The sequence below is a fragment of the Homo sapiens genome, chromosome 10 (assembly GCF_000001405.40).
Source record: "Homo sapiens chromosome 10, GRCh38.p14 Primary Assembly".
Taxonomy (NCBI): domain Eukaryota; kingdom Metazoa; phylum Chordata; class Mammalia; order Primates; family Hominidae; genus Homo; species Homo sapiens.
This window is the reverse complement of record NC_000010.11, coordinates 34,258,822-34,271,623: the sequence shown is the minus strand read 5'-3', so window position 1 is coordinate 34,271,623 and position 12,802 is coordinate 34,258,822. Positions and strand designations below refer to the sequence as shown.

At 39.3% G+C, this 12,802-nt stretch overlaps 1 protein-coding gene across 8 annotated transcripts in view; it reads left to right on the top strand.

The window, feature by feature from the left end:
- PARD3 (par-3 family cell polarity regulator) overlaps positions 1 to 12,802 on the top strand; it is a 705,736-nt gene that overhangs the window by 543,673 nt on the left and 149,261 nt on the right. For all 8 annotated transcript variants that reach the window (NM_001184790.2, NM_001184791.2, NM_001184789.2 and 5 more), the window contains one exon: positions 1,725 to 1,967. In NM_001184790.2, coding sequence (NP_001171719.1) covers positions 1,725 to 1,967 — 243 coding nt within the window. The remainder of the gene's footprint in view (positions 1 to 1,724; positions 1,968 to 12,802) is intronic.

Sequence of the window (12,802 nt, the reverse complement as noted above, 5' to 3'; positions counted from 1 at the left end):
GAAAGCATTCAGTCTTTCTCCATTATGCATGAGGGAACCTGTCGGTTTTTGGTAGATGCTCTTAACTTTAGGAAGTTTCACTTTATTTCTAGTTTTCTGAAGGTTTTCTGACATGATGGGTGTTGAATTTTATCAAATGCTTCTTCTGCATCAATTGATACAATCATGTAACTTTTCTTCTTTGATCTGTTAATATGATGGATTGTAGTAATTGATTTTTGAATATTGAACCAGGCTTGAATTTTTGCAGTAAACACCATTTGGTCACGGTGTATAATTTCTTTTATATATTGCTGAATTTCATTTACTAATATTTCATTAAGGGTTTTTTGCTTTCATATTCATGAGGAATATTGGCCTATATAGCTTTCTTTTCTTTCTTCCTTTTCTTTGCTGCTGTCTTTATCTGATTTTGGTATCTTTTCTGAATTCTTTTGAATATATGTTTATGTATTGTTTTTGCTAGCAGAGGTCTACTTCAAACATGAAAAGAATAACTGCAATAAAAGATTATATTCAGTCTAAAGTGTTGCTTTATAGAAGTAAGATTTTACTGCATTTAAGTGTGTACTTAAATTTGTAAGTATATAAAGGAGATATTTTTTCCATTAAAATTTTATTGAGGGTTTTAAAATTTTTTCCAGGTAACTAAGATTGACTTAGGACATAAATTATATCAATATATTATAAGTTGAAGAGGACATTGTACCAAATAGTTTAATAAAATCATAGTAAACTAAACGTAACTTCAGTAAAGGTGAGCATTTAAGGTTTGTTTCTTAGTTGTAATGTAGGCAAGTTTTACTTCACAATTTGATTGGATACATGCCTTCTAGTCCTTAATTTAAGGATTCTCCATTTCTGTATGCATCCCATGAAATGACAGAGTCGATGTCATTAAGCTGAGATCCTCTTTTGTCACTAATGAAGAGTTATGGTGTGGATTCGTGTTTAAGCTTCATAGTAGGTTGAATGTTTATGGTGTATTAATAATGAGTAAGATAGGTATATATTACATATAAATATTTTCATATATAAAGTGTATGTAACGTTAAAAAAATTATTTCTTGCCTTAAACAAATTCATGAGTAATATCCAAGTAGATGCCAGAAATGATCTGTTCCTTGCGAGTTTTTAAAGCTAGTTAATAAGTGAAAGTTTAAACTTAAGATTTAAATTATGGCCAGGCACGGTGGCTCACACTTGTAATCCCAGCACTTTGGGAGGCTGAGGCAGGAGGATCACTGGAGCTCAGGAGTCTGAGACCAGTCTGGCCAACATGGTGAAACCCCATCTCTACTGAAAATACAAAAATTAGCCAGGCGTGGTGGTGCACACGTGTAATCCCTGCTACTTGGCAGGCTAGGGCACAAGAATCACTTGAACCTGGGAGGCGGAGGTTGCAGTGAGCCAAGATCTCATGCCACTGCCCTCCAGCCTGGGGGACAGAGTGAGACTCTGTCTCAAAAAAAAAAAAAAAAAAGATTTAAATTATGACTGCAATCTTGTAGACATGAACAAAGGGCATCTCAAATTATTCTTTTTGAGCATCCATAGCATTACTTAACAATCTAGAATGTGTATGACCTGTCATTTATACCACTGATCTTCTATAGCTGCAAGAAATCAAATATATTTTACAACATATTTTGATGAATGTTTCTATATGCAGTTCCTAAAAAAGGAAAGGTTTCTCTTATTTCAACTTTGTTCTGATTTCATAGGATTCAAGCCAAAACTCGAGAATTTAGGGAACGACAAGCTCGAGAGCGTGACTATGCTGAAATTCAAGATTTTCATCGGACATTTGGCTGTGATGATGAGTTAATGTATGGGGGAGTTTCTTCTTATGAAGGTTCCATGGCTCTCAACGCTAGACCTCAGAGCCCACGAGAAGGGCATATGATGGATGCTTTGTATGCCCAAGTCAAGAAGCCGCGGAATTCCAAACCCTCACCTGTAGACAGGTAGGCGCCAGGGGCAATCGTGGTATTGCTTCCAAATCAGCTTTTATACAGCTTCTGACAGGGGAGTAGACCATTCATCAATCCTCAAACCAGAATTGCCTTTTATTAATGGCCTTTAAAAAGCTGTTGTGTCTAAAAGTATTGAGTTTACACAAATTGAAACCTAATGGAAGGATCAGCAGAGGTTTTGATGGCTTTTCTAATGATTCCAACATATTTCATTTTGTTCTGAAGATGGTTTTATACCTGAGAACCAACCTCTACTTTATAACTCAAATAAAAAGCAAACTTAAAATTATGACTCTTCTACTTAAGTGATATGTCCTTTTATTGCTAGGAGAGCCTCTAGGTGTGGCAATTAAATAGATGGGGAATGACATGATTTGTTCCACTTATGATTTAGATGGATCACTTTTTTTTTAGGCAGCATAACTTTATATTATGAAAGAATCGGTAAATGAGAAGAATAATATAGTATAACAGATTGCTTATTAACAGCCACAGACCACAGGTCTAAATTATGTATATCAGTGTAGCACACAGGAGTGCAATGTTAACTGTATTTTTTAATTGATACATGCTATTTTACATGTTTATAGGATACATGTGAGTAATTTTTACATGCATAGAATGTGTAATGATCATGTCAGGATATTTGGGGTATTCCTCAGCTTCAGTATTTATTTATCTGTTATTTGTGTTTTATCTTATTTTATTTATTTATTTTTTATTATACTTTAAGTTCTAGGGTACATGTGCACAACGTGCAGGTTTGGTACATATGTATACATGTGCCATGTTGGCGTGCTGCACCCATTAACTCATCATTTACATTAGGTATATCTCCTAATGCTTTCCCTCACCCCTCCCCCCATCCCATGACAGGCCCCGGTGTGTGATGTTCCCCTTCCTGTGTCCAAGTGTTCTCATTGTTCAATTCCCACCTATGAGTGAGAACATGTGGTGTTTGGTTTTCTGTCCTTGCAATAGTTTGCTGAGAATGATGGTTTCCAGCTTCATCCATGTCCCTACAAAGGACATGAACTCATCCTTTTTTATGGCTGCATAGTATTCCATGGTATGTATGTGCCACATTTTCTTAATCCAGTCTATCATTGATGGACATTTGGGTTGGTTCCAAGTCTTTGCTATTGTGAATAGTGCCGCAATAAACATAGTGTGCATGTGTCTTTATAGCAGCATGATTTATAGTCCTTTGGGTATATACCCAGTAATAGGATGGCTGGGTCAAATGGTATTTCTAGTTCTAGATCCTTGAGGAATCGCCACACTGACTTCCACAATGGTTGAACTAGTTTACAGTCCCACCAACAGTGTAAAAGTGTTCCTATTTCTCCACATCCTCTCCAGCACCTGTTGTTTCCTGACTTTTTAATGATCACCATTCTAACTGGTGTGAGATGGTATCTCATTATGGTTTTGATTTGCATGTCATTTGTGTTTTAATGGCTATATATTTACTTAAAATTTTAACTGAAACAATTTTTAAACGATCTTTTCCCGCTCTTTCATTTGTATGTTCAAGCACCATGAGGAGTTTAGTTCACAAATAATCATTTCTTTTTATATCAGACATACGCATGTTATTGTCATAAATGATACACTCAGCTCATCATCTCTCATAGTGGTTTCTTATAAGTGTTGCTCTATTTAGGAACTGGGCCTTGAACATTATGAATAGCAGGTTTCATTAAAACCAGGGGCTCTCAAGCTTTAGTGTGTGTCAGAATCTCCTGGAGGGCTTCTTAAAACACACATTGATGGACTCTCCCCAAATTTTGATTCAGTAGGTCTGAGGTTGAGCCCAATAATTTGCATTTCTTACCCATGTCCAGGTTTGATGCTGGTACCATTGGTCCTGGGGATGGCACTGTTAAGAACCCTCACAAGGCTAGAGATGTACGGGAAATACTTCATCCATAGCATCCATGTGTTATTGGTTGCTACGTTTTGCACCCAGTTTCTATTTTACCTACTTCCAGTTGTTTTTAATAGAGGTTTGCAGATGCAACAGGTAACTCTTAGGCAAACCCAGGAAGAAGTATTTTTAAAAATAGCAAATGTGAAGCCAGATCTTAAGGTGAAATGCTATAGCCAGAGTATTTGGTTTGTTGCTTTGTTTTGCTTTTGTTGGGTTTTAGGTTTTCCTTATGGTCTTATGAAAATCTGTAGGTCTGTTTGATATTGACTATAATGACTGAATAATGTAAATTAACATAGGAGGCATATGGTTTATTTAGACCCCTTTGCTGTGATCACCTAGAAGGTTCACTTGCTTATTATCTAACCACAGATATGTCAGGATCCAAAGAATACAATTATTATCAGTGACAATGACATTTTCTTTAAAAGCTCTTACTTGGTTTCTGCCATACTTGTGAATGCTGCTTATAGAAGGTCAAACAGCATTTGAAGGCCATGAATGTCCCATTGGAATTGTTTTCCTGGGAGAAAGGACACCAGAATGCTGGCGTTGTCAGTTAGTAACTTTTGGAGGAAGTAAAAAAAAAAAAATTAGTTGACATATTATTGATCGTTGATAAAAGCACTCATCATTTTCAGCACCTTCCACATCCACTTTGAAAACCTGAAAAATAGTAGACTACCACGTAGCAGTTTTTCACACAGCTCAGAAGTCCCACATGACATCAAAGCCAGGAGTCAGATGGGTTCTGTCTTCCCAGCTCCTGAGGCCCAGAAGTGGTTGCTTTAAACCCCAGTTTAAATCATAGTGCCCTACAAGAGTCTAAATCTTGCATGTAAATGTCTGCAAATTTTCAGTAGCACTTACATGCTCAGAACAGCCTCTGTTTCTGGACTCCAGCATCCCCACTTGGAGTCTGTACCCTGCACTGTGCTAACCCCAAACTGAAACTCAGCCTCCTAATTTCTGCCAAAATGCACTCAGAGAAACATTCTGGAGGAGACTTTAGTCATGAGGATGAGTTACACCAAGCAGTAAGTAACTCAGAATCACATCTTAGACATTGCTGTATTCAAAAGCCCCTCTCATCCTAACTCAAGCACAGCCTCAGCAGCTGTCAGACTTACGATACTTTTATGCATTTGTGCCCCAGAAGGGTGATTAGACTAGATAATTTGTGAGATGCTTCCAACTCAGGAGAGACATAATTTATATTTTTAAGAAAAAGGACTATGGAAACTTTAGTTTTTTGTAATTATTATTTTTGCAGAGAATAAGATGTCCATTAAACAAAGATTGATGTTACTAATCCAAAAAGTTGGGAATTATCATACCTGTAAAGCACTTCTTCATCTGCCTTTAACAGGATGTGAATTTGGCTGTGATGTCATGGTATCACCTCCATTGTCTGTTCTTGTCAAAGAGAAAGCTACATAGAAAAGTGTTTCTCAGACTTGAGGAGTATAGGAATTTTTTTTTTTTATAGAAAGACAATCTCTTGGTACTGCAGTATTGAACTAAATTGTTTTGATTATAATGTTACTTAAATATGTGTAAAAATAAAATAGGACTAAACTCCTTCTGTTGACAACCATTATACAACCATAAAGCCAAACATCTTTACAAATTAAATACAAAAATGGCAAAGCCATTACCTTCAAATGAACAACATTAACTTAATGTGGCCAATAATGTTTCTTAAATCTAAACTCTTGCACAAATCATGAATATGGTGGTGGCTGCTCCATGGCAGGTTCATTTGGGTTTGTTTGCCGACCCCCACAGTCTTGCCCATCCCTTTTCTCTGTTGAATTTCTGCAGTTCTTTTGTATGTTCCTGTTCAGCAGCCTTTGGCCTGCAGCTCCCACAGGGGCATCATGTGTGCACGAAGTTCAGCCCGCTTCTGTTGTCATTAACCGGAGACAGTGAAAATAGCATTCCATCGTGCCTTCATGTGTGTAAACCCAAATTCAGACAGTGAAATGACACGCCTGTAAGAAGATCTAGAATATGCTTATACTAACGTTTTTGAAAAGTAATTATTCAAGTGGAAACATGCAACTTGGAACTCCGCAGAGATTATTTCCTGTATGAAGAATAGACACAATAGAGAAACTCCTGTCAACTGACTAAATTCCACCAAAATTTGCAATTGGTGTCCAGTGACCTTTACTATTCAAATTTTTGGATTTCATGGGAATGCAGGCAGTTGACAGTCTGATGTGTAGCCTGCATCTGTTCTGGGATTTTCATTGTTCAGTAAGGAAGCAGTGTTCTACATTTCACTGCTTAATCATTTTAATTGATCTTATAGTCAGAAATATGGATCTGGTAGCCCCACATGGAAACAGCCAGGGATGATTTATTAAATGTGGTGAATTTGGCATCAAAATGGGACATTTTCTCAATTTCCACGTATTACTTATAAAATGCTTTTTATAAGATAGCATCATGCCATGTCTAGAAATAGTCCCATGTCTGTTTGATTTTATTATAACATGAACTGTAGGCTATAGTCACAGTGTCACTGTTACTACTGTTTATTAGTGTCGTGGGTAACATTTTGATTTTTCACCTTGGATTGATGCTAAAGAGAAGCAGATCCTATCCTTGTGTTTGATATGAATAACAAGGCTTAAAACTCACAAAAATGTTGGCGTAGGCCGGGCACAGTGGCTCACACCTGTAATCCCAGCACTTTGGGAAGCCAAGGCAAGAGGATTGCTTGAAGCCCAGCGTCTGAGACCAGCCTAGGCAACAAAGTGAGACCCCGTCTCTACAAAAATAAAAATAAATTAGCCAGGCGTGGTGACATGCATCTACAGTCCCAGCTACTCGGGAGGCCAGGGCAGGAGGATCACTTGAACCTAGGAATTTGAGGCTGCAGTGAGCTATGATTGCACCACTGCACTCCAGTCTGGGCAACAGAATAAGATTCTGTCTCTTAAAAAAAAAAAAAAAAAATCCCAGTTTTTTTCTGGCTAGCAGAGTGCCTAGCTAAAAGTTTCCCAGGCTCCCTTGCATTAAGAGGTGACCATGTGACGTAGTTCTGACTCCTAAGTGAGGAGTGTACCTAGAGTGGGGACTTCCTATAAAGCTAGTCTTTTCCTGAGTGAAATGGGGCTGACTCATTTTGTCCTTTACCATTTTCCCTGATTCTAAAGTTGTAGGCTACATGAAGGAAGAGGATAGCAGTCTGGTCCTGTGAGCAGCTCTTCTAGTTCTTATCACCTGTGAAAAGTGAATTTGTTACGTGTTTAAGTTACCTGCAATCAGGTTTCTATTTCATGAAGCCAAAAACCGTTCTGAATACAGATGCTTCTCAACTTTCAATGGTGTTCGGTCCTGATAAGCTCATTGTAAGTTGAAAATAACATATTGGAAATGCATTGAATACGCCTCACCTACCAAACATCGTGGGTTAGCTAGCCTACCTTAAACATGCTCAGAACACTTACATTAGCCTACAGTTGGGCAAAATCATCTGTTCTAACATGAAACCTATTTTATAATGAAGTGTTGGATATCTTGTACAATTTATTGAGTACTGTACTAAAAATGAAAAATAGATTGGTTGTGTGGGTACTCAAAGTATGGTTTCTACTGAATAGTTAGCACCTTTGCACTATCTAAAGTTAAAAATCTTAAGTTGAATCATAGCAAGTCCGGGACCATCTGTATAATGAATTGTGCACAGAAGAGCCCAAAGGGAATCATTGTCTTTTGATCAAGATTGTGTATATTTTAGAGAACTATCCCCTGGTCAAATAATTTCCACAATATTTTGTGAAATTAAGTAATGAGCAGTATTCTCCAGTGTTGCTCAATTAGCTCTTCTGCCTTTCATTTTGTTATGCATCTAATTAAAGAAATGTTACCAATCAAATGTCTGCCAGCAGCTAGTCTTCTTAATTCTTTAAGACACTGCTATCCTCTGATAACTCCTATTTCCACCAACAATCCTGCTATAAAGTAAGAAGCAGTTGAGTGTAACGTACAAGAGAATGAACTATGGAGCCAGAATACTTGAGTTTGATCCTGGGCTCTTCTTTTTTTTCTTTGAAACAGGGTCTCACTCTGTCACCTAGGCTGGTGTATGATTTGGACTCACTGCAGCCTCAACCTCCTGGGCTTAAGCAATCCTCCCACATCAGCTTCCTGAGTAGCTAGGACTACAGGCATATGACATGATGCCCAACTATTTTTTTTTTATTTTTTGTACAGATGGGGTCTCACTATGTTGCCCAGGCTGGTCTCAAACTCCTGGGCTCAAGTGATCCACCTGCCTCAGCCTCCCATAGTGCTGGGATTACAGGCGTGAGCCACCGTGCTCTTCTTCCTGGGCTCTTCTGCCATCAGCTGTGTAAAGTCTCTGCTTCACTTTCCTCATCTATAATATGGGGATAATAATGGTACTTGCCTCATTAGGTTTGGGAAGGATTAACTGTGTTAATGACATATAAAGCACTTCACACTGAGCATGGTCTGTAGTAAGCACTATTTGTTTGCTGTTGCAACTGTTACTTAGGAAATGGGCTTTTACTCTCAGGAAAACACATATGCTTTCAGCATCGCCACATAGGTGCAGAAACAAGCAAGGAATGAAATTGAAATCAATAAAGACAGGTTTGATTCTTTATACTTAACATAGATATAGGAGTGTGGGAATGCAATTCTGCTGATGCCACTTCCTTCATTAAATAGCTTGGTCTCCTAAGTATTCTCCATAAATTACATCACATCATGAACTGTTTCCCTTTAAATTAGGAGTTACTGAATTCAGGATAAGGCATTCCAGATGGCTTCTATAATATAAATATTTAGAATAGAGTAAATGCTGGGTAGCATGAAATGTCTTATTTGAGAGTGACAGGTGGGTCATGGTATAAGGACCTGACCTCTCAATCAATTTCAGCCTTTGGTTTGGTAATTTGAAGGTTTTCATTTTGTACTTGCATGAAATTCTTTGAAGTTCCTCATGGTTTGCTTTCATAAAATTCTTACTGAGTCTGAGTTTGCAATACTCCATGGAAATAGGGCAGCTTGAACGTCTCAAACCTTGTCTAAAATGTTGGCATTTCTGTTTACATCAAGTTATATCTTAGAGGGACAGGCAAGCCTGAATCATGATCTTAAGAACTGTAAAGGCTAGGCACAGTGGCTTACATCTATAATCCCCACATTTTGGGAAGCAGAGATGGGAGGATCACTTGAGGCCAGGAGTTCAAGACCATCCTAGACAACACAGCGAGATGCTGTCTCTTAAAAACACTAAAATTATCCGGGCATGGTGGTCACACACCTATAGTCCCAGCTACTCAGGAGGCTGAGGTGGGAGGGTTGCTTGAGCCCAGGAGTTTGAGGCTGCAGTGGGCCATGATCATAGCACTGCACTCCAGAATCAGTGACAGAGTGAGACCTCGTCTCTAAAAAATAAAAACATTTAAAAAAAAAAACCGTAATAGGCTTTGTTCTAAAACAGTGGTTTTTCTAATTTAAGCATATGTAGAAAGACCCTGGAGCACTTCTTACAGATCCTGACCTCCCCTCATAGATATTTTGATTCAGTAGATGTAGTTGACTACAAACCCACATTTTTACCAAGTACCCCAGTTGACTCTGATGCAGCCATCCTTTGGAAAATATTACTCTTGGGCTAATAAAAAAACAGTTTGGAACTCCAGTATGAGTTAGTTTGTTACTGTTAACAGTGAAGCTGTGAAATAATTTATCATTTCTGTCAGACACAGCTTTATCCTGGCATTTATAATGTCCATTGTTCATCTATGATCAAATAATCATTTTGTTTAAAAGGTCATCTTGCAGGTGTCATATTCCTAAACTGCATTCTGTCCAGTGTGTGTGTGTTTGTTTGTTTGTTTGTTTCTTTCTTTCTTTCTTTCTTTCTTTCTTTCTTTCTTTCTTTCTTTTCTTTCTTTCTTCCTTCCTTCCTTTCTTCCTTCCTTTCTTCCTTTCTTCCTTCCTTTCTTCCTTTCTTCCTTCCTTTCTTCCTTTCTTTCTTTGAGACAGAGTCTCACTCTGTTGCCCAGGCTGGGGTGCAGTGGTGTGATCGTGGCTCACTGCAGCCTCAGCCTCCTGGGTTCAAGCAATTCTTCTGCCTCAGCCTCCTGAGTAGCTGGGATTACAGGCACGTGCCATCATGCTTGGCTAATTTTTGTATTTTTAGTAGAGGCAGGGGTTCACCATGTTGGCCAGGCTGGTCTCGAACTCCTGGCCTCAAGTGATCCACCCACTTTGACCTCCCAAAGTGCTGGGATTACAGGCATGAGCCACCGTGCCCAGCCCCTGTTCAGTGTTTCTTGACACCAGAAAGTTTCTTTTCCTATAGGTTACACAATTCTAATTTGGAAAGTTTAGTACACTTTAAATTCTTAACAAAGAAATCATAAAATCCTGGTCAATAATGTTTTTTTTATTTGCTTGAAGACACCATGCAATTTGTATTTTTATATCCAGAGACCAGAATCTGTAGTTAAATATTCTACAGAAAGACAGCTTTAATGGACATTTGCTGACTGTCACTATGCAATCATTTGCCACCAGGAGTGCATTGTCCTCAAATATAATGGGAATAAAATACGAACTGTGTCACTATAAATCTAAATAGCAAGAAAATAGTAGGCTAGACTCCCCCTGCTTGCTGAGGACACCTTAATGGAAACATAAATACCATAATCACATGCTTTTTGCATGCATTTTACCACTAAAGAGAAAAATGTCGATTTTAAAAGAAAAGACCTTTGTGAACTTGTTTCCCCTCCCGTTAAAATCAGAATCCGGTTGCGTCAAAGGGAAGCCTGGCAAACACAGAACAAAACTAATTTTCTTAGATATAGGCACTTATTAAACATGTGCTCTTTTAGAAATGTTGGGTCATATAACAAAGTTGTATTTGCTACTGAAAAAGTCAAATACCACTTTATTTATGTTTGCTTAGTATTACTTACCTCTGCTTTTCTTGAAATGTGAGAAAGTAATTCTCGAAGGTAGTCAATCTCATTGTAATGTGAGTTCTGCAAGTTGGTGCCTTTGCTAATTAATGTGCTCCATCCAACCTGGGCCTGATCTCAGTGTCCTTGGCTGTCTACTAATATCTCTGGCCTTGGCTAGCTCCTTCTCCATTCATGTTAGCAACTCTTCCAAACTTTGTTGGTCCCTTCAGCACAACTCAGCTCCAGACCTCTAGCCCATCCACATCTGTGCCTGGGCCACTTGCCTCTCCTTAATAGCTGAAGATCACCTTTCCTCCTTCCAGGCCAGCTCTCTAAACAGTCTTCCAGATCCCAGCCCCACCACTTCAAGGCACCTGCTCCGTCAGTGTCTCCTCTGAGCCCCTGTCTTCAGCCTCTGCCTTTCTACTGGAACTTCCATGTAAACATGTTAATGTCTACCATACTGTTTAAAAAGAAAAAAATTGGCCAGGTGTGGCAGCTCACGCCTGTAATCCCAACACTTTGGGAGGGTGAGTCTGGAGGATTGCTTGAGCCCAGGAGTTTGAGGCCACTTTGGGCAACATGGCGAAAACCCATCTTTACAAAAAATTTAAAAATTAACTGGGCATGGTGGTACCCACCTGTAGTCTCAGCTACTTGGAAGGCTGACATAGGAGGATTGCTTGAGCCCAGGAGTTCGAAATCAGCCTGGGCAACACAGTGAGACCCCGTCTCTACAAAAAATAAAATTACCTGGGCATAGTGGCACCTACCTGTAGTCACAGCTACTTGGGAGGCTGAGGCAGGAGGATCATTGAGTCCAGGAGTTCGAAGCTTCAGTGAGCTATGGTTGTTGTACCAATGTTCTCCAGCCTAGGCAACAGAATGAGACCCTGCGCTCCAACCTGGGCGATAAATGAGATTCTGTCTCTCAAAAAGAAAAAAAGAAAAATTCCCTTTTTACCATCTAGCTATTTGCTTCCCTATTTTTCTACTTCACTTCTAATTCAGACTTCTTGAAGGATTATTAATACATTTGATGTAGATTGCCATATCTTCTCTCCCACATCTCTGGTTCATTCCTCTCGTTGTATGATGGGCATGATAATGCTTCCCCAAAGATGCCCACGCCCTAATTTCTGGAACTTGTGAATGTTATCTCACCAGGTGAAAAGGACCTTCAAATGGGGAGGTTTTCCTGGATTATCCTTTTGGGCCCAGTGTAATCACAAGGCTTTATCAGTGAAAGAGGGAATCAGAAGGGGCAGAGTCAGGAAGGAACTGAAGCTGCTGCCCTATTGACTGAAGTCAGAGGAAGGGACCATGAGCCAAGGGATGCAGGTGGCTTCCAGTAGCTGGAAAAAAAGCGAGGAAGCAGATTCTCCCCTCGAGCCTCCGGAAGGAACTTGGCTCTGCCAACACCTTGATTTTCACCCAGTTGAAACCCATTTCAGACTTCTGACCCCCAGAACTATAATATAATAAATGTGTGTTGTCTCAAGGCAATACAGTTGTGGTGATTTGTTGCAGTACCCATCGTGTATTTGTTTCCTAATTGCTTCCTAGAAGCATGATTCAATGAAACTTGAGTGCTTTGCATTCTAGATTACTCTGTGGCATTCCTGAAACTCTGTTCTCTTTGTTTTTGTGGCACTGCTTTCCCCTTCCTTTGAAACTATCCTTTTTTTTTAGAGACAGAATCTTGCTCTGTCACCCAAGCTGGAGTCAGTGGTGCAATTATAGCTCACTGCAACCTCAAATTCCTGGGCCCAAGCGCTTCTCCCACCTCAGCCTCTCGAGTAGCTGGGACTACAGGTAGGTGCCACCATGCCCAGCTAATTTTATTTTTTGTAGAGACGGAGTCTCACTGTGTTTTGTAGACATAGGGTCTTGCTATACTGCCTTGAACTCCTGGGTTAAGCGATCCTCCCACCTTG